The following is a 21,357-nucleotide window of genomic DNA, read 5'->3' on the forward strand; positions in this document are numbered from 1 at the left end:
CTAGGGATGGAATAGCCTTCACTGTATTCAATGCTACTAGGGATGGAATAACCTTCACTGTATTCAGTGCTATTAGGGATGGAATAGCCGTCACTGTATTCAATGCTATTAGGGATGGAATAGCTGTCACTGTATTCAATGCTGCTAGGGATGGAATAGCCTTCACTGTATTCAATGCTACTAGGGATGGAATAACCTTCACTGTATTCAGTGCTATTAGGGATGGAATAGCCGTCACTGTATTCAATGCTATTAGGGATGGAATAAGCTTCACTGTATTCAATGCTATTAGGGATGGAATAACCTTCACTGTAAGGTTGAGGCGGGTTCAATTAGGTCTCAGGGGTGCGCTGGCCTTCATGTTCTCAATGGCCCGGAAGATCTAGCTGTGTCATCTGCTGACTGTGTTCTAGAATGACAGGTGTTAGAGTCTTAGAGATCAGCATTCAAGAGAGGTATACCTAGCATATGTTTAAAATAATAATTATTAACCCTTTTCCCATTTAGAAAAAAAAAAGGACAGCTGGCTGCTAGTGCTCATTTAATTTTACATGAACACATTCTTTGAGGCCAAAGCAAATCTGACTGATTTTCAATGTGGAAGTAAAATATAAAAACTGTTTTTGAAGTTTTATTTCTAAACAGACCTAATATCAGAATCATCTGAATCATCTGAGCTATTTATTTTAGAAAAATTGGATTCATCACATGAGTCTTTGGCCAACAACTGTTTAATGATGTTAACATCACGCATAGGAATGCTCCGTTTTCTAGGCTCTGACATTTTCAGTGATCAAGAATTACTATATTTTGTAAATGGAACTACCACCACTAAAACCAGAATGCTATATATAGAATGATGTCTTTTGTTTCCAATGTCAATATGCTAGAGAAATGCAAAAGTAATAATAAAAGCAAGGTCTTTCCTGGCAGAGGTATCTTTGGGTAAACGCTGCAGCTGGAAGTGCTGCCGGCAAGTGTTCTCAGGGCAAATGGTAAAAGGGTTAAAGGTTAAATTAGACAGCAACCAAGATTTGAGGTTTGAAGGAAGCTAGCCTAAAAGGCCTTGAGACGTTGGGCCTGGAGTGTCCTTAAACGGAAGTATAAGGACAATGGTGGCAATTCAATGCATTTCCTGGTTTGCAGTCTGAATATTTTTGGTGACGGCATAGACATCAGAGAGGTCTGTGGAAACATATGCACATCAATCACTTCTGACTGCACAATCCCAAGTGCCCTGTGGGAAGCTAGGATCATGTCCTATGCCAGCCAATTGTTGTGGGCCACTCACTGGATTTCTTTAATTCTCTGGTGATGATGTTAGTGTCTTTGGTAAGACTGTCCACAGTTCTGGTTGTTTCCTGAAACAGAGCATGGAGAATGTGGGAGCCTGGGTGAACTAACTGAGTGGCCCACTACAGCAGCTCCAGACACAAAGCTTGTCCATCCACAACCTACAGCAGCATGAAGCCTTTCCAGTGTCCTTCGAACCTCTTAGCCTCTTGTTCTACGGCTTCTTGGGATCCTGATGAGGAAGGAAGGTCACAGTCTCTTTCTGGGGCTGAGATTCAGTGCCTTGGCTTGTAGATGTAAAGTTTTTGTAGATCTTTTGGATTGTCTAGTGCCTGAAAAATTTAAATCCATGATAATCTATTAGTAGTTAAGACAAGAAGAGAAGGCGGGCTAATTAAAGATTTGAAAAGCACTAAGAGGATTAGCTAAATAACAGGATCTATTCCAACCAGCAGGCATGCTTTTTCCTTTCCTGTCCAGCCCCCTTCCCATAGGAGACAATTTGTAGATCAAAGAGGTCATGTTCACTCAAAGCTTGCACTCCTGTTCTAGACCACGTTCCAAATATTATGGTGCTTGAATATCGTTCTCAGATTGCCCTGAATCCACTTCCAATGCCTGATGAACCCTTCTCCCTGGGTCAGTCCTCCTGAGGGTAGGCCATGCCTGTCGTGTGCACCCCTAGAATCAAGAGGCACTCCAGGGGTAGCTGCCTGTGAAAATGATGGAATTTGGATGCCTAGTCTAGGACATCCACAAACATGCACCCAAACCACAGTAAAAACTGTGAACAACAAAGCTTATGTGAGCTTCCATAACACTCCATGTGTGTTGTCATATGTTGATATTGGGAAAGTAATATGCCCTGACTCCACAAAAAAAACTACATTTGACTCCCCTGGACTTCACTGTAGGCACTTTTCCCTTGGTTGGTTTTGATTTGTATCTTTTCCATGTAAAAAAAAATCATTACTGTAAGTATAATAGATTTCAGTTAAGTTCTGTGACTCCTTGTAGTAAATTATCAAACCTAAAGCTGATCTTGGAGACCCTTCTATTTGCAATTGATTTCAGAAGCAACAGTGGTCTTAATGACTGGTCCCTCTGACATTACAGGTCGCCAAAACACTTCACAGTTGGTGTCATACGTGGGATTCACTAGCCCCACCCTGACTCACTGAAACATGTGATTTGAGAGGAAGAAGGAGGAAAGGGCTGGGGGTGATTATGGAGGTGATGAACCTTTGATTACTGGATGGCCACAGGGTTGCCGGCGGTTTGGAAATAATGCTGTGCTGCAATTAGTTGCTGGAGGCAGAAGTTACCAAAGGAATTTAGAAATAACGGCTCCAATTCTGAGGAGCTGGTAGTGGATATATAAGGAAATGAAAAGTAACAAGGAACAAGCTAGTACCAATCTCTTGGTTATTGTTATCTGTAATAACTAAAATAAAAGTAAGAGTATTGGGATGGATCCTAAGGCTGTCCTAAGCTTGGATTCAGGTGGGTCCAAGCTACAGCCACTAACGTCAGTGCTGCTACCAGAGGGAACAGTTAAGCAGATGCAACCAATAGCTAAGATGTGCAGGGGTATGGGGGAAGGACAGAGGAGAAAGTCAAGGGACTCATCCCAGCAGGGCAGAAATCTTCCAGTGGTTATTAATGGGATGAATACAGCAGACCTTGATGGAGTGAAGACAAAAGCCTAATGCAGCACTCTCAGAAACTGTAGGGACTGATGGGAGCCCCTGCTTGTCCCCCAGCAGTGAAGGTTCTTTTTTTTTTTTTTTTTTTTTTTTTGAGACAGAGTCTTGCTCTGTCGCCCAGGCTGGAGTGCAGTGGCATGATCTTGGCTCACTGCAACCTCTGCCTCCTGGATTCAAGCGATTTTCCTGCCTCAGTCTTCCAAGTAGCTAGAATTACAGGCATCCACCACCGTGCTCGGCTAAGTTTTGTATTTTTAGTAGAGATGGGGTTTCACCACGTTGACCAGGCTGGTCTTGAACTCTTGACCTCAGGTGATCTGCCTGTCTCAGCCTCCCAAAGTGCAGGGATTATAGGCGTGAGCCACAGTGCCCGGCTGCGAAGGGCTTTAAATAAATCTGCTTTATTCACTTTAAACAAACTCTGCTTCATAGTTTGGAGGAATTTTAAAAGCCAGCAAGCAAGGATGACAATGAGAAATCTGATTTTGAATCACTGAGGCAATGGTCTCACAATCTAATCAGGATGAAGATTGACAAAAGGGCCTGAGTCCCTTGGCCCCATCTTCAGCTGGGGAACTGAGGGTGTATGCATGCACGTGGGTAAATGGTCAGCAGGTGAAGAGGAGACATTTCTAGGACTCCTTGACACACGAGGCCCATGCACTGTGATTCCAAAAGCTGTTGAAGTTCTAAGGGGCTATAGTTAGATTGAGAGGATATGGGAATGAAATATTGAAGAAATTAAGTGAAAGTTTGGATGAAATTTGGAATGTCTGAATGGACTTTATGTGAAGTGGTGGTATCTCCTTTACCTGAGTTTATTAAGGGGATGGATATTGAGTCTGACTGGGGACTGCTTCCCTCACCTAGTATTATAAAACATTAAGCATGTAAATCTACCCTTCAGCCAATATTGGCTGAACATGCCAAAAATAGGAATCAAGAAAATTACCTGAGCCCATGCAGGTTGTTAATTTTACTAGAGTAATGATGGAGACAGATTATCTGTGCAATGTGCCTGTGTGGAGGGCAGGCTGGAACTTATGGCAGTAGCCTCTGAGAGCCACCCAGTGAGGACTACTGGGATTTTGGACTAGGAAAATTCCATTCAAAAGGCAATTACTTACTTGCCTTCTACTGGACATTGATTGAAACTGCCCTATGACCGAAGGACATAAACTGATCTTAAAACCTGAAATATTCAGAATGTCTTGGGCAATGCCAGAGAAACACTCTAATGGAGAAAAGAGTGCTCAGAAAAGCTCCACAGTAAAATGGAATTGGTTTATGCAGGATCATGGTACCAGGGGAATGCAAGGAGGAGATACTTGTGAGCAAGGAGCCTCTTCTCCCCTAGCATTCACTTTGGAACCACCCGAGGAGCTGCTGGGCCCTATAACCAGTTGAGTGTTACCCTATGAACAACTTTTATTGATCAACAAAGAGCTACTTGGTTTATGGATGGCGGTTCCAATGTGAGCAGACAGCATCCTATTTGGAAGGCGCCATTCTGATTGAACAAGGTACAAACAAATCAGCTCAGTGGGCTGAGATGCATGCCGTTTGCCCCTCTGTTTGAGTTTTTGCCGACTCATGGGCAGTAGCCAATGGCCTGGCCATAGACTAAGCCAGGTGGCAATGGAAAGCTGGCCTCTTAAAGGGATGCCCATATGGGGCACAGCCTTGTGGAAATTACTAGGAGAATGTGAGGGCTACATTGAAGTAGGACATGTCAGCACCCATCAGAACGCCCTTCCAGGATGAGAAAGTGGTTGGAATTGGCAAGTGGGTATCCTGTGCACTTGCTTGGGTGGCCACCTGGGTTCATGGAAGGAGTGGATGGGGGCAGTGGGGATGCTGCAGTATAGACATGGCTGAATCCACATGTGTTCCTCTTGTGGTCTCTGAGGCACACAATACCAGCTGCTCAGTCAGCCAGCAAGAGAAGCAGAGACTGCGGATGGTGGTGGGGCAGATTCTCCAGGGCAAGGCCCTGCACGGAGCTGCCAAGTTGGTCTGATGCTGATGGTCCCTGGGGTCTACAAATGGATCCTGACAGGAACAGGCACCTGCTCTGGACTGGCTGTTGACCAGTGGTAGATGCAGATGTTCAAAATACTGCAAAAGGACTAGAATTGAAAATATTGCCCCAATTTAGACCACTGAATCACACTGAAACTGCGTTTGCAAAATTATGACAGTAAGAGAAATCTGACATAGCTGACTCTGTCTAGCTTCTAACCTCTAAGCTGTCATTGTTCATTCCTGGGCATAGGCTAAGCTAACCTAGAGAGGAATTTAGTTCATAGGTTAACCTTAAAGCAAGCAGATAATAGCCCTTTCCAAAACTACACCTTTCCTTGTTCAAGCATGAAATTGCTTTTTTAACACTAATGAAAGGCCGCAGATTAAGATTAGGAAGGGGTCTGAACTCTGCTAACATGTAGGCATAATGAAACAATAACCAGCCATTGTTCTAGAGGGCATAAGAGTCATAACCTTCCCAATTGCTCCTATAGATAACATCACTATTGTCAAACCCAAGACGGGTGTTCAAAACTCTGCATCCTGATGAACCAGCTGGCACCACCGAGAATGGGAAACTGGCTCAACTAGTTTTGTGATCCCACCCAGGAACTCAAGAGCAGCAGGAAGACAGCTTCAACCCCCTGTGATTTTATCCTCAACCCAACCAATCAGCATTCTCCGTTCCCTAGCCCCCTCCCTGCCAAATTATCCTTTAAAAACCCTAGTATCTGAATTTCTGAGGAGAGTGATTTGAATAGTCAACTCTTTCCTTTTGGCCAGCCCTGTAATAGTTAAACTCTTTTATTTATTGATTGATTTATTTTTTTGAGATGGAGTCTTGCTCTTGTTGAGCTGGCTGGAGTGCAGTGGCACAATCTTGGCTCACTGCAACCTCTGCTTCCCAGGTTCAAGTGAGTCTCCTGCCTCAGCCTCCTGAGTAACTAGGATTACAGTCACCCGCCACCACGCCTGGCTAATTTTTTTGTATTTTTAGTAGAGACGGGGTTTCACCATGTTGGCCAGGCTGGTCTTGAACTCCTGACCTCAGGTGATCCATCTGCCTCGGCCTCCCTAAGTGCTGGGATTACAGGCATGAGCCACTGTGCCCAGCCGTTAAACTTTTTCTATTGCAAAAAAGCTGCTGTTCTCAGTGCATTGGCTTTTCTGGCCAGAAGGCAGGATGAACCGATCAGGCAATTACATTTCTTTGGAACACACTTTAACCCTCAGAATAAAAGTTTGATAGAGAAGTGGAACAGGCAATTGAAACATGCGTTGTCTAAAACAGGGTGATAAAGGCGGGAAGGGCTGGCTCACACGCCTTCATGCACACACTCCACAAGAGGAGCCCAAGAGAGTGCACACTGGACACAGTCCTCGACTTTTCTATGGGATCTGGGGAGGCAGGGATGGGGGGATGCTAATGTGACCACACAGTTCTTCCCTATGTCACTTCACCTTCCGTTTTTCCTACCTGATGCAGCGGCTCCAGGATCATGGCAGCAATGGTAGGTGCCAGAAGGAGGGATGATCCCTAAGCAAGAAGCTAGAACCAGGCCTTTAAAGCTTTGTGTCAGAATTCCTGGGGGCCTGATGGTGTGGGCTGTGCCTTCACCGTCTGGCAAAATTGGCGTTAGTGTTGAATGCAGCTGTGTTACCTGGTTGTTGGGAGAGCTCACTAGTTCTGTGCCTGTGTGCCCCTATCCTATATAAGTGGGAAAGGACTCGGGGAGGAGTCCTTGCTTCGCCATGCTTGCTTCTGGCAGTCTATACCGGCGCAGTGGCCAAACCTAATGTCCTTTCCAAAGATGGAAACGCTGGAAAAAATGAAATGATAAATAGAGAGAAGGGGAAAGGCAGCTAAGAGCAAAGGGATGGATAAATGGTTTATGCCATGAGGGAGATCTGACATTTACTTTGGCGCTTCAAGAAAGACTCCGAGCGAGAGATGATATTGTCTCTTTTTTTGTTTGTTTTGTTTTTTTTAGACAGAGTTTCACTCTTGTTGCCCAGGCTGCAGTGCAGTGGTGTGATCTTGGGTCACTGTAACCTCTGCCTCCTGGATTCAAGCGATTCTCCTGCCTCGGCCTCCCAAGTAGCTGGGATTACAGGCATGCACCACCATGCCTGGCTAATTTTTGTATTATTAGTAGAGACGGGGTTTCATCATGTTGGCCAGACTGGTCTCGAACTCCTGACCTCCAGTGATCCGCCCACTGGCCTCCCAAAGCGCTGGAATTATAGGTGTGAGTCACCGCTCCTGGCTGTTACTGTCTCTTACCACAGTAATATACCTGATGCCTGAAAAGGTAGAGCTATGGATTGCTGAGACTGCATGTGCTTTCGCAACCTGACCATGTCGAATGAAAGTCTGCAAACCTGAGTGTTAGCACTCAGGAGACATTTTGGTCATATGATATAATGACTGATGGTCATTCGATTGATGATTGATGGACATTTTGGTCATACGATATGATGAAACTGGAGTAATTGATAATGACTAAGTAGGACTCTGGTAATGTGATGATATCTTTTGGCATTTATTTTTCAGGTTACCATACTGTGATGTGATTTAATACTGGCCTCATTACCAATAAGAGTCAACTACCTTATATAAACAAGTCTTAGAATAATGCTGATATTGATGATCAAATATATTGAGAGATTGAGTTAAAACTTCTCTTCAGGTTGTAATAAAATGACTGGCCTGAGGAAGAACTGGGTTTAGCTGACTATTACCTAATTTCTATGCTAAATAGCTCAGTATAAATTTATCAGAAGGTACAAATAACAGCAGATCAAGGGAGGAAAAGAGTAATCAAATTATTAACAGTATAAAAATATGAAAATGTATGTAATGGCTTTATAGGACAGATGAGTTGCCCACTATTGCTCTATCTGTCTAATAAACACTACACTAACTATAGATGCCTAAACAAAGACGATTGTTTTGCTGTATAAGAAAGCCTTGGCCAAATGCCAGAGGGTAGTTTATGTAGTGAAAAATTGATTTTGCCCAAAGAGAGGTCCAGCCTTTGCCATTGGCTCCTAGGAGGCGATCTCTAGGCCCCTGGAATGTCCTGACTAACTGGAGTGTCTTTGCTTTGGGGGGGGTTAGCCACCAGACAGCCTAACAATGTGATTCATGACATATGCTTTGTGCCACATGCTATCAGTTCCAATCTCCCAGGGACTGGAGATGAAAGGTATCAGCCCTGCCTCCAGGAGGGGCTGGGCAGTAAAGGCCAGCCATGGGGGCGGTGTGTGGTCAAGCCCGGATAAAAACTCTGGACCCCAAAGGCTCAGGTGGGCTTTCCTGGTTGGTGATGCTCTGGGCATGCTGTCACACATCAATGCTGGTGAGGGCGGAGTTAACAGTGTGTAGGACCCCACCGGGAAAGGACAACCTGAACCTTTGCATTTGGGCCCCTCTTAGTCTCCACCTCATGTGTCTCCTCCCTTGGCTGATTTTAAGCTGTATTCTATTCCCTGTAATAAACCATAACTGTGAGTACAACAGCGTTCAGTGAGTTCTGTGAGTCCTTCTAGCAAATTGTTGAAGCTGAGGGTGGTTTTGGGAACCCTCCAAACTTGTACTTGATGTCAGAAATGAGGGCAGTCTTCTATGTGGACCCCGTGTGCCCTCTAAAGCTTCATAAATTGCCCTAACTTGCTTAGAAAATGAAGGGAATACTTACATATTGAGTGCTGAAAACCCCAGCCTTCCACTCAGCTCTTACAATGCTGGCAGCCAGGAATAAGGAGCAGGACATTGGCGTATTCTATGCTGGGAAGTATGATCAGCTCAAGAAAGACCTAATGATAATGACTGTATCAGTTAGCATTCGCTGTGTAACAAACCACCCCAAAATCTGGTGGATTAAGATGAAGCCTTTGTTAATCACAGCTTGGCAGTTTGGCTGAGCAGTTTCTCTGCTCTGGGCCAGTTCATTCGGGCCTTCGTGTTCTAGGAGAGCTTTCCTATCTTGTCCAGTGGTTGGCTTGATGTCAGCTGGAACAACAGCCATGTGTCTTCCATCGTCCATCAGGATAATCTAGGCTTTTGTGGTGGCAGAAAGGTCCCCAGCTGCTAACGTTCCATCTGCCAAAGCAAATCATGTGGTCAAACCTAGGTTGAAGAGATAGAGAAACAGGCTCCAGCTCTTGACTGACAGAGTGGCAGAGTCACCTTTCAAAGGTGTAGGCATCAGTCAGAATTCTCCAGAAACAGAATGAACAGAGCCTGACATCATAGGGCAGACCAGTCTGGCCAACAGGGTGAAACCCTATCTCTACTAAAAATACAAAAATAAGTCGGGTGTGGTGGCATGCGCCTGTAGTCCCTGCTACTCAGGAGGCTGAGGCAGGAGAATTGCTTGAAACTGGGAGGGGTGGTGGTTACAGTAAGCCAAGACCGTGCCATTGCACTCCAGCCTGGGCAACAGAGAGATTCCATCTCAAAAAAAAAAATAAAATAAAATAAAATAAAATAAATATATATATATATGGTGTATATATATATATATGGTATGTATATATATATGGTATATATATATGGTATGTATATATATATGGTATATATATATGGTATGTATATATATATGGTATATATATATGGTATGTATATATATATGGTATATATATGGTATGTATATATATATGGTATGTATATATATATGGTATGTATATATATATGGTATATATATAAATTTTGGGTATATACATATTTTGGGTATATATATATTTTGGGTATATGTATTTTTTGGGTATATATATATTTTGGGTATATATATATTTTGGGTATATATATATATTTTTTTTGGGGGGGGTATATATATATATCCTAACAAGCAAACAGGGGTAAAAACAGAAGCATAGAGGAAATTATGTAGAGGGAAGAAAACATCTTTGAAAACCTCATGAATTTCCTCAGAGAAGAGATGATAGAGAATCCATGAAATAAGAATAGGAAGATGTAAAAAATACAATTTGGAGAATAAAGAAAAGTTCTTGAGAACTATATAAAAACACAAACGAACACATGGAGACCTTGGAAAATAGGTCAAGTGAGTCTCCTAGAAAGTGCAGTAAGAAGAGAAGGAGATGGCAAACAGGAAAGAACTGATAAGAAAATGAGGACTGGCCGGGCGCGGTGGCTCACGCCTATAATGCCAGCACTTTGGGAGGTCAAGGAGGGTAGATCACCTGAGGTCAGGAGTTCGAGACCAGCCTGACCAGTATGGTGAATCCCCGTCTCTACTAAAAATACAAAAACTTAGCCGGGCATGGTGGTGCACGCCTGTAATCCCAGCCACTCGGGAGGCTGAGGCACGAGAATCACTTGAACCTCGGAGGCAGAGGTTGCAGTGAGCTGAGATCATGGCACTGCAGTCTAGCCTGGGCGACAGAGCAAGACTCTGTTTCAAAAAAAAAAAAAAAAGAAAATGAGGACTGGGCTGGAGGTCCAACATCGGATAGATAGGAATTCTGCAGAGAATAATTTTTCTCTTTTTTTTTTTTTTTTTTTTTTAGACAGAGTTTTGGCTCTTGTCGCCCAGGCTGGAGTGCAATGGCGCGATCTTGGCTTACTACAACCTCTGCCTCCAGGGTTCAAGCAATTCTCCTGAGCCTCAGCCTCCCGAGTAGCTGGGATGACAGGCGCCCGCCACCATGCCTGGCTAATTTTTTTTGTATTTTTAGTAGAGACAGGGTTTCATCATGCTGGCCAGGCTGGTCTCAAACTCCTGACCTCAGGTGATCTGCCTACCTTGGCATCCCAAAGTGCTGGGATGACAGGCGTGAGCCACCACAACCGGCCGAGAATAATTTTTAAAATGAGAAACATGATCATGTATCAAGAAAAATGACCAAAGAACATGGGTTTCCAGATACAGTTCTATGTGATGAAGTCCATCACCTTCTTATAATCTGAACACATGATGTAGTTACTTTGAAATGAATTGTTTCAGGTTGGTTCCTGGGGAAACAGACTCAGAAGGAGATTTGCATGTGAAGCATGTCAGAGAATGACGAATGGAGGACTGGGGATGCCAGGAGTCAGGTGGTGCATTCCTAGGGACTGTCCCGGTCTGTCCCAAGTGTCTCTGGAGCTCAGACGACCCTCAGAGGTGCCCCAAACTGAGGCAAGGGAACTAAACCTTTGTACTATCCCCCAGGGCCCAGCACTTGCCCTAAGCCGTCCCTGAGGAGGGGCTGTGACTGTGGGTGGGCTGCTCACTTTAGCTGAAGACGACTCTAAGAGAGGGGCTCTCTGAGGGCCAGCAGCGGCCCCAACTCCCAGCAGCTGGGAGAATATGAAGGGGGAGTCTGTGGTCCATGTAACATCTGCTTTGTTAAACTGGAAGCTTCTAGTTTTGACTTCTTTGAAATCTTTAATGCTCACTTGGTCAACAACCTCTAGTTATACTGCTGAACCTCACCGCGGTCGGCCTGCAGACAGCGTGTGCTTGGGGCTCCCGTGCCGTGCAGCAAAAGCCGGATCCGGGAGCTCAGTGCTGAGGCCGGCAGTGGCCACAGTCACCCAGCACTGTCTGCGGGGGGCGTGTGAAGTCTCTCCAGTTCGGGGGTAGGAGGGCGACACTGAAAGGCCTATTGTTGCTGCCCAACTCGGTAACATGGATTTCATCGGCGATTATGCAGGCATTTCGCTATTGCTAGATGTGACTCCCACACCCTCTCTCTTTTGGGTCTCATCTCCAAAAGGGGTGCTTGTTATGAGGCCCCTCAACACTTACTGTGTGGCTGTGCTTATTCAAAGAACATCCAGACTATTACATTTAACTTTTTTTTTTTTTTTTGAGATGGAGTCTCATTCTGTGGCCCAGGCTGGAGTGCAGTGGCGCAATCTCAGCTCACTGCAAGTTCCGCCTTCCGGGTTCACGCCATTCTCCTGCCTCAGCCTCATGAGTAGCTGGGACTACAGGCACCCGCCACCAGCCTGGCTAATTTTTTATTTTTTTTTTTTGTATTTTTAGAGACGGTGTTTCACTGTGTTAGCTAGGATGGTCTCGATCTCCTGACCTCGTGATCCACCCACCTCGGCCTCCCAAAGTGCTGGGATTACGGGCGTGAGCCACGGCGCCCGGCCTACATTTAAAAATTTTTAAGCTTACCAAAGTGACGAATTAGAAGTATTTGTATCTTAAATGACTTTTCAATTTACAAAAGATGGATCATCTAGCACCATATAAGGAACTTCCTTATTACGCTTTAAATGTAATTCAATAAACTTCTCGTTCATTGCCAAAGCTGTTTCTATATCATATCTATATCCTATTTATTCAGTGGTGCCTGTTAAGTGCAGCAAGCTTGTGAGATGGGTAGAAGAGAAGGGGAAAACATCTACATTGAACGTCTTCTGGGTTCTACAACCAGCTATGGTGCTACACACACACACACACACACACACACACACACACAAAGAGGTAGATATTATCTCCTGCTTACATGTGAGGAAGCTGGTTCAGAGGGGTTAATAAAATGGCCTGGCATCACACAATGCCAGCAAAAAATCAGCAATCGCATCCCCTGCTGCCTGACAGCACAGTTTCTGAAGTTTCACATCCAAGCTGTTTCCTAGGTAACCACCACACAGCCTCCAGGACCGTCTGCATAAATAGGGAGGAAGGGGGAATCCAGCCAGCGCCTCTCATTTCCTGCATCAACAATAGTGCAGGCCTTTGTCAGGGCGTTAATGTGGCGAAAACAGCCCCAAAGCTTATCCGTGGGATTCTAGTTCAAATGAGATATTTCCACTCACTGAAGGGCCCGATTCATTGAGGATCTTGCCTGTCAGAGCACTGAGCCTGTTTCTATTTTTATTCACTCCCCTGCCTTTTCCTTTTCTCCCAGGCTTTTTGTTCTCGCAGCAAGGAGTGAGTACTCCTCCTTGTTCACATGAGCCTGTGCCCCTCGAGAAACGCCAGGATCTGAGCAACCCACCCACTCCCCTGATAGGCAAAGGGCTCTGCAGAGTCCTTGCCGGTCCCCGGCCCTGGGACTGGCCAGGACAAGGCCCAGGGCCGGCATGACTCTGGGTCACAAGGTCTATTCATCTTGGTGTGGCTTCTTTGCTTATTGTGCTCCGTCCTGTGATGGTCTCTGCAGGGGGCCACAGAGACGTAAAGAACTTGCTCTCCTTTCCCTGTTGCAAGAGACAGGTCTAGGTTGAAGGACTAAGTGAGCGAGGGAAATGAGGGTCACGGCAGCCCACTCCCTTACCGCCTTTAACAATTTGATCTCCATCCAACCGAAGCATTGCCTCTATACTTTACTGAGAAGCTCAAAGGCACTTTGCTTTTATGAGCTGCTCTCTTCCGAAATAAATATTAATGACATTCAAGCTCGTGGGTGTTGCTGAAAGCCATTTTTCTCGGCAATATTCTGTGCAAAGAACAGGTTGGAAATGTCAGTGGCCAGTCATATTATGTATGGTTGTATTAGTCTGTTCTGGGATTGCTGTAAATAACTACCTGAGACTGGGTAATTTATGAAGAAAGGAGGTTTAATTGACTCACAGTTCCGAAGGCTGTACGGGAAGCATGGCTGGGAAGGCCTCAGGAAACTTATAATCATGGCAGAAAGCAAAGGGGAAACAGGCATGTTTCACATGACAGGAAAAAGAGGAAGAGAGCCAAGGGGGAGGTGCTACACACTTTCAAACAACCAGATCTCGCGAGAACTCACTCGCCAACACAAGAACAGCAAGGGGGACATCTGCCCCCATGATCCAGTCACCATCTGCCCCCATGATCCAGTCACCTCCCACAGGGCCCCTCGTCCAACACTGAGGATTACAATTCAACAGGAGATTCGGGCAGGGACACAAATCCAAGCCATCTCAATGATTAACATCTTCACTTGCCCCTTTCAAATATCCATGGTCAGCTGCAGCGTGGCGTAGGTCGCCATCAAGAGGCAGCCGACTACACTAGCTGTGGTGCTGGCCCCCAGGGATGGGGAAGGGCAGACACAGATATTCATCGGGAAGACACTGGATCTAGCGGTTTGAGCTGGTGGGTGAAGGCAGCAGGCTCCGTCTCTGGACATGATGGTGCACCAAGTCACACTATTAGTTCTGGATGGGGCAGGGACAGGGCAGGGACAGGGCTCAGTGCCCAAGCAGCAGGGCAGGGCTGACATAATCCCAGGGTGCCACAGCTAGTGGCTGGATATGAGGTGGCCCTATTGAATACCAGTGATACATTTTTCGGGTGTGGTGCTGCCACTGTGGTTACATCAGAGAATGCCTTTGTCCCCAGGAGGTGCGTGCTGAAACATTTAGGGTGAAGCGTCGTGATGTCTGCAATCTACTTTCAAATAATTCAGCAAAAAAAAAAAAAAAGCTTACACACAAACGTGGCAAAATGGGCAAAATGTTAAAAACTACTGAAGGCAGAGGAAGGGTATGCAGAGACTGGCTGTGCTATTCTTTCAACTTGTAGGTTATAAGGCTTTTTAAAAATAAATTTTTGAAGTTTTTCCAAACGGGTTAATGATTGATTCTAGGCTTGAAACATGAAGCAGTTTTCCGGTTTTCTTCACAAATGGCCTAGAGTTCAAAACTAGAATAAGTGATACAGCTAGTTACTACTACTTTGCTGACTTCTCATCCTAAATGTAGTACAGTCCAGACAGGATGGAATATGGTAAACTGCTACCTTTAAATTCAACGAGTTAAACAGATATTTCATAAAACAGGCTGGCGAATTCTATTTTTATCTTATGTTTTCTTGTTCTCACATTTTCAATGCTTAATTGTTTTTCTCATTCGAAAGAATGTTTTATCTGACAACCCATCCTGTGGCCAGAAGTGGGAGCATGTGCCATCTAGAGATTATACCGCAAAAATGGACAGCAAGTCTTCTAGATCCTGCATGGTCCTGCTTTTGTAGCCTTGAGAAAGTAATGCAACCAACCAAAACACATATGTGGCTACTTGCTCATAATTAGCATGAAAAAAATAGGTATTCTGTATTTTGATGCTCGTGAAAATATATTATGAATACATAACTCAAATAAATAAAGGCATAAAAATTAGATGATGATGTCTATTTCTCATCCTAGACTGTAAGACCCATAAGGGCAGGAACAGTGTCTTTATTTATATTTGCACCCCTGGTGCCTAGCCCCATAAATATTTGTTGAATAAATGAAAGTATAAATAAATTAGAAAATAGAAATGTGGGCTGGGTGTGATAGCTTAGGCCTGTAATCCCAGCACTTTGGGAGGCTGAGGCAGGCAGATCACCTGAGGTCGGGAGTTTGAGACCAGCCTGACCAACAGGGAGAAACCCCGTCTCTACTAAAAATACAAAATTAGCTGGGCGTGGTGGCACACACCTATAATCCTGGCTACTCGGGAGGCTGAGGTAGGAGTATCGCTTGAACCCAGGAGGTGGAGGTTGCGGTGAGCCGAGATTATGCCCCTGCACCCCAGCCTGGGCAACAAGAGTGAAACTCCATCTCAAAAAAAAAAGAAAAGAAAATAGAAACGTGATGATGGTTGAATTCCACAGTAGCCAAGGACCAAGGATTACACAAATCCACTATATATATATATATTTTTTTTAGCATTAGGTATATCTCCTAATGCTATCCCTCCCCCCTCCCCCGACCCCACAACAGTCCCCAGAGTGTGATGTTCCCCTTCCTGTGTCCATGTGTTCTCATTGTTCAATTCCCACCTATGAGAGAACATGTGGTGTTTGGTTTTTTGTCCTTGCGATAGTTTACTGAGAACGATGATTTCCAATTTCATCCATGTCCCTACAAAGGACATGAACTCATCATTTTTTATGGCTGCATAGTATTCCATGGTGTATATGTGCCACATTTTCTTAATCCAGTCTATCGTTGTTGGACATTTGGGTTGGTTCCAAGTCTTTGCTATTGTGAATAGTGCCGCAATAAACATACATGTGCATGTGTCTTTATAGCAGCATGATTTATAGTCCTTTGGGTATATACCCATCAATGGGATGGCTGGGTCAAATGGTATTTCTAGTTCTAGATCTCTGAGGAGTCGCCACACTGACTTCCACAATGGTTGGACTAGTTTACAGTCCCACCAACAGTGTAAAAGTGTTCCTATTTCTCCACATCCTCTCCAGCACCTGTTGTTTCCTGACTTTTTAATGATTGCCATTCTAACTGGTGTGAGATGGTATCTCATAGTGGTTTTGATTTGCATTTCTCTGATGACCAGTGATGGTGAGCATGTTTTCATGTGTTTTTTGGCTGCATAAATGTCTTCTTTTGAGAAGTGTCCGTTCATGTCCTTCGCCCACTTTTTGATGGGGTTGTTTGTTTCTTTCTTGTAAATTTGTTTGAGTTCATTGTAGATTCTGGATATTAGTGCTTTGTCAGATGAGTAGGTTGCGAAAATTTTCTCCCATTTTGTAGGTTGCCTGTTCACTCTGATGGTAGTTCCTTTTGCTGTGCAGAAGCTCTTTAGTTTAATTAGATCCCATTTGTCAATTTCGGCTTTTGTTGCCATTGCTTTTGGTGTTTTAGACATGAAGTCCTTGCCCATGCGTATGTCCTGAATGGTAATACCTAGGTTTTCTTCTAGGGTTTTTATGGTTTTAGGTCTAACGTTTAATTCTTTAATCCATCTTGAATTAATTTTTGTAGAAGGTGTAAGGAAGGGATCCAGTTTCAGCTTTCTACATATGGCTAGCCAGTTTTCCCAGCACCATTTATTAAATAGGGAATCCTTTCCCCATTGCTTATTTTTCTCAGGTTTGTCAAAGATCAGATAGTTGTAGATATGCGGCATTATTTCTGAGGGCTCTGTTCTGTTCCAACACCAAAAAAAGAGCCCGCATCGCCAAGTCAGTCCTAAGCCAAAAGAACAAAGCTGGAGGTATCATGCTACCTGACTTCAAACTATACTACAAGGCTACAGTAACCAAAACAGCATGGTACTGGTACCAAAATATTGTTATTTTTATAAATTATAATGTTTGTAGACTAAATATAGCAGACTGATGTTCAATGCTCGGGGGGAGATCCTTAGTTAATGATACAGCATTGTAAGTATGTAAAATATCTATGTAGTTGAGTGAGGACTAGGTGTTGATATAAAAAATGAAACTAACAGTTGTGTTAGAGTGGTGGGGTTTGATGTAGCTTTCTTTACCCTGTGTCCATTTTGGTTTTTAATGAAAGGAATTTATAAGTGGGTATTACCTCTGCTGGCCAGCAAACTGAGGCTGTCTTAATAAATAAAAGAAATAGCACAACATTAAGAATTATTGCTTCTGTTCACATGGTGTCTAGATTCAAAGAAGTATGTGTTGATTTTATCTCACCTTGGGAAGTAGAAGAGAAATGCTGGAAGTGACACTAGGATGCCACTGCACCTAGTGCCTTGGCTTTGTTTCCAGGAACCAGCCAACCACGTGAGCAGGAGGCTTGGGCAGGCCGATGCGCATATGAAAACGGAGTGTAACTTCCCTGATAGACTGTGTTACCATACAGGAAGGGAAGAAGGTCAACTGGAATTAAGGAATATGTCTCCTGGGTGGCCTATTCAGTGCTTGCCAATCTGTAAACTACTCACTTTGCAGGTGGAAGTGGCAGCACCGTGTCTGCACACATAGGTGGGTCTGCAGATTCAATAGTACTATATCCTAAACTACAAAAATTAATCACACTGGGTTCAAAATCACTATGGTGGATTTAAAAATAAATGCCCTCGATAATATAAATGATGCTCATCCTCACTGATAATTAAGAAATATAAATTAAAGGATAAGATATCATTTTTCATCAAGTTGGCAAAATTTTTTAATTTGATGACATCTATTGTTGGACAATATGAATGTTTAGTACATAAATACAGGTGTATAAAAAATTTTAAAGCTTTCCTAAAATTGACCTTAATTTCTAACTCAAGAGGCTTCTTCTGTTTGGCAGCAACAACTTCAACTTAGTCAATGTTGGTTAATCTTTATCAATCCAGGAGACCCTTAGTCAACTTCTCTGTCTATCTGAGGTTGACGTGAAGTTAGGGAAGGTGTGTGTGATGCCAGAGTAATGGCAGGGGAGGGAGGTTGCATTCCTTCTTCACTGCCATCAATCCGTGCTGGCCCCTGATGAGATGCCCACATTCCCCTAGAGTCTTCCATAATAAATTCCATGCTGACATACCCTGCTTTCTCCCATTGTCTAGATAATGAGGTATCTTTGGTTCTCCTGGCCTTCTCTCAGCTACCTCTGTGCTCTTCCAAGTGAAAATAGGGAAAACTCTTCAAATCTCTCCCACAATGTCCTGGAACCCAGTGAGGCTCCATGAGGCTGCCCTGGTACCTTTGAGCCTAAACATGTGTCTTGCTATTTCTACTCTACCGCTGGCACATCAAATTGGTGGGTGTCAATGTGGTTGGGTTTACCATTTCCCAGGATCCAAGATAGAAACCAGTATGCAGATTTCTGGCTTGTGAAGGTACTCCTAGTTTATCAGCTATGATGTGTTTGGCTGTAAGTAACAGAAAACCCAACTGAAAGTGACTTTAATAATAAGGGACTTGTGATCTCATACAACAAAAACATTATGGTGGTAGTTGTCAAAACATGGTCTAGTGATGCCTGGAAGTCCCTGAAACCCTTTCAAGGCACTACATGGTCAAAATCATCCATTCCATGTGCAAGTTGCAGATGAACTTTAATGTAACAGAGCAGAAGTCAGTGTTTATTTACAAAAAACTTTATTACCAAATGTGTTGTGAATAAAGTTTTATTGGCACACAGCTACACTCATTTGTTCATGCATTGTCTGTGGCTGCTTTTGTGCCACACCAGCAGAGTCCAGCAGTTGTGATAGAGACTGTATGGCCCACAAAGTGGAAAATATTTACTATCTGGCCCTTTCCAGAAAAAAAATTGCTGATCTCTGCCATAGTGTATAAATCATTTTTGGAGATAATTTCAGACTCCACATTGCAAATGACCTTTAAGGAGCTACCACTTGTTACATTCTTAGTGTAGTATCAACAAAGAATATCTACAATGACCTGGAAAGACATAAAAATACTGCTCATTTTGCTACGACATATCTGGGTGAAATTAGATTTTTTTTTTTTAATATACTTCAACCAAACCAACATACCAAAACAGATCGAATACAAGAACAGACATGAGGCTGGGCCCTGTGGCTCAGATCTGTGATTCCAGTGCTTTGGAAGGCTGAAGTGGGCGTTTGAAGCCAGGAGTTTGAAACCAGCCTTGTCCCCATCTTGACAAAGGAAAAAATAAAAATAAACAAGAGCAGACATGAGAATCCAGCTGTGTTGTATTAAGCCAGACATTAATGAGATTTGCAAAAATGTCAAACAATGCCACTTGTCGCTAAGTTATTTCTTGTTTTAGAAAGATACAATTTTTTCACAAAAATATATTTATTATTAAATTGGTTTATTTTTAATGGATTAATAAATATATATTTAAAATTTCTCTTGGTTTCAATTAATAACATAATAAATACTGATAGATATAACCCATATAAACAAAAGCTTCTTGGGGTCCTCAGTAATTTTAAGAGTGTAAAGGGGTCCTGAGACCAAACAGTTTGAGAATCGCTGGTGTAGACTTCATGCAGCTTCAGGGCTGGTTACCACACCATCTCACTGATGCTCCCCCGGACCCAGTTGTTTTGTATCTGTTTACTCTGCCATTCTCAGCATATGGACTTGCTCTCTTAGACAGCAGCACCCCCCCTACCCCACATGGTACCAAATGGACACACAGAAATGACAGAGAGAAAAAACTGCAGCAACAGTTCCTGGCATCGTAAGTTTCCAAAGGCAGAAAAGGCACTATTTCTTTTTGTCCTATTTGTCCAAAAAAGTGATTTTTCTTTCTTTCTTTTTTTTTTTTTTTGAGACGGAGTCTGGGTCTGTCGCCCAGGCTGGAGTGCAGTGGCGCGATCTCTGCTCACTGCAAGCTCCGCCTCCCAGGTTCACGCCATTCTCCTGCCTCAGCCTCCCGAGTAGCTGGGACTACGGGCGCCCGCCACCACGCCCGGCTAATTTTTTGTATTTTTAATAGAGACGGGGTTTCACCGTGTTAGCCAGGATGGTCTCGATCTCCTGACCTCGTGATCCGCCCGCCTCGGCCTCCCAAAGTGCTGGGTCTTTTTTGTTCTTTTCGAGATGGAGTTTTGCTCTTGTTGCTCAGGCTGGAGTGCAATGGTGTGATCTCGGCTCACTGCAACCTCCGCCTCCTGGGTTCAAGCGATTCTCCTGCCTGGGCCTCCCGAGTAACTGGGATTACAGGCACGCACCACCATGCCTGCTAATTTTTGTATTAGTAGAGATGGGGTTTCACCATGTTGGTTAGGCTGGTCTTAAACTCCTGACCTAGGTGATCCACCCACCTCAGCCTCCCAAAGTGTTGGATTACAGGCGTGAGCCACTGCGCCTGGCCCCACTGATTTTTCAAAAGCAAGGAAAACCTTTTCCAGAACCAGTGTGCTATTTATTTTTACAATAACCCCAAAAAAGGCCTTATTAAGAAGGGTGTATAGGAGTAACTGATACAGGCTGGGTGCGGCTCACACCTGTAATCCTGGTACTTTGAGAGGCTGAGGTGCATGGATTGGTTGAGCTCAGCCTGGGCAACATACTGAAACCCTGTCTCTACAAAAAATACAAAAATTAGGCATGCTAATGCATGCCTATAGTTCCAGCTACTTGGGAGTCTGATGTGGGAGAATTGCTTGAGCCTGGGAGGTTGAGACTGCAGTGAACTGTGATTGCACCACTGCACTCCAGCCTGGGTGACAGAGCAAGACCCTGTCTCAAAAAAGGAGGAGAAGGAGAAACCAGATCGACTATAAATGACTAGAGAACTGGACAAAATACATGAAACAACTGGTTTTGGTCTTCGGAAAATAGAAACATAATGACTGTAATCTCTGAAGAAGGGAAACAATGAGGTGAGCCTGCAATCACTCCACCATTCTGCCTGAGGAACTTTCTAAGCCATGTACAGAGAAAAGGAATCCAAGTGGAGCACAGCAGTCTTGTTGAGCTGAGGAGACAGAAACAGGTGTTTGAAGGCTGAGGGGGTTGAGTTTTTAGAGATATGCAAATAAATAGCTCCATAAATATGCATAGTACCCTTGAAGATTTTGGCTGAATGCTAGGTTGTGATGTCCAGGTGAGATTCTACAAGCTGTGCAAAGAACAACTACGAGGGAAAGAGCAGCTCCTGGGTAGTTGTAGCTTGCACAATGCTGCAGACATTTGAGCTCTGGCAGTTACGTGGGGCTATCTTAATGAACACCCAGGACATTCATTAGAAA

At 43.9% G+C, this 21,357-nt stretch overlaps 1 long non-coding RNA gene across 2 annotated transcripts, besides 6 other annotated features; it reads right to left on the bottom strand.

Annotated features, from left to right (window-relative positions):
* Window positions 1-715: 715 nt before the first annotated feature.
* Window positions 716-13,666, bottom strand: LINC02525 (long intergenic non-protein coding RNA 2525). Of its 2 annotated transcripts, none has more exons than NR_038296.1 (3): window positions 13,565-13,666; window positions 8,726-9,129; window positions 716-1,625 (listed from the first exon to the last, which is right to left on the bottom strand). It is a non-coding gene; the product is annotated as a long intergenic non-protein coding RNA 2525 (long non-coding RNA). The 2 variants fall into 2 exon arrangements; NR_038295.1 differs by having other exon boundaries at window positions 8,726-9,156.
* Window positions 5,013-5,062: an enhancer, noted in NCBI's record as "active region_23884". NCBI's record gives its function as "activates an Ori minimal core promoter by ATAC-STARR-seq in GM12878 lymphoblastoid cells {active_cell/tissue: GM12878}" and the evidence as "EXISTENCE:reporter gene assay evidence [ECO:0000049][PMID:35858748]".
* Window positions 10,934-11,228: a silencer, noted in NCBI's record as "tiled region #8965; HepG2 Repressive non-DNase unmatched - State 20:ReprD, and K562 Repressive non-DNase unmatched - State 10:DNaseD". NCBI's record gives its function as "represses a minimal TATA promoter and a strong SV40 promoter by Sharpr-MPRA in HepG2 and K562 cells {active_cell/tissue: HepG2 | K562}" and the evidence as "EXISTENCE:reporter gene assay evidence [ECO:0000049][PMID:27701403]".
* Window positions 12,290-12,845: an enhancer, noted in NCBI's record as "H3K27ac-H3K4me1 hESC enhancer chr6:3194625-3195180 (GRCh37/hg19 assembly coordinates)". NCBI's record gives its function as "activates a minimal SCP1, AML or CMV promoter by ChIP-STARR-seq in primed H9 embryonic stem cells {active_cell/tissue: H9 hESC(primed)}" and the evidence as "EXISTENCE:reporter gene assay evidence [ECO:0000049][PMID:30033119]".
* Window positions 12,494-12,788: a silencer, noted in NCBI's record as "tiled region #8607; HepG2 Repressive non-DNase unmatched - State 4:PromP". NCBI's record gives its function as "represses a minimal TATA promoter and a strong SV40 promoter by Sharpr-MPRA in HepG2 cells {active_cell/tissue: HepG2}" and the evidence as "EXISTENCE:reporter gene assay evidence [ECO:0000049][PMID:27701403]".
* Window positions 12,846-13,399: an enhancer, noted in NCBI's record as "H3K27ac-H3K4me1 hESC enhancer chr6:3195181-3195734 (GRCh37/hg19 assembly coordinates)". NCBI's record gives its function as "activates a minimal SCP1, AML or CMV promoter by ChIP-STARR-seq in naive and primed H9 embryonic stem cells {active_cell/tissue: H9 hESC(naive and primed)}" and the evidence as "EXISTENCE:reporter gene assay evidence [ECO:0000049][PMID:30033119]".
* Window positions 13,954-14,507: an enhancer, noted in NCBI's record as "H3K27ac-H3K4me1 hESC enhancer chr6:3196289-3196842 (GRCh37/hg19 assembly coordinates)". NCBI's record gives its function as "activates a minimal SCP1, AML or CMV promoter by ChIP-STARR-seq in naive H9 embryonic stem cells {active_cell/tissue: H9 hESC(naive)}" and the evidence as "EXISTENCE:reporter gene assay evidence [ECO:0000049][PMID:30033119]".

This window comes from Homo sapiens, chromosome 6, assembly GCF_000001405.40.
Source record: "Homo sapiens chromosome 6, GRCh38.p14 Primary Assembly".
Classification (NCBI taxonomy): Eukaryota; Metazoa; Chordata; class Mammalia; order Primates; family Hominidae; genus Homo; species Homo sapiens.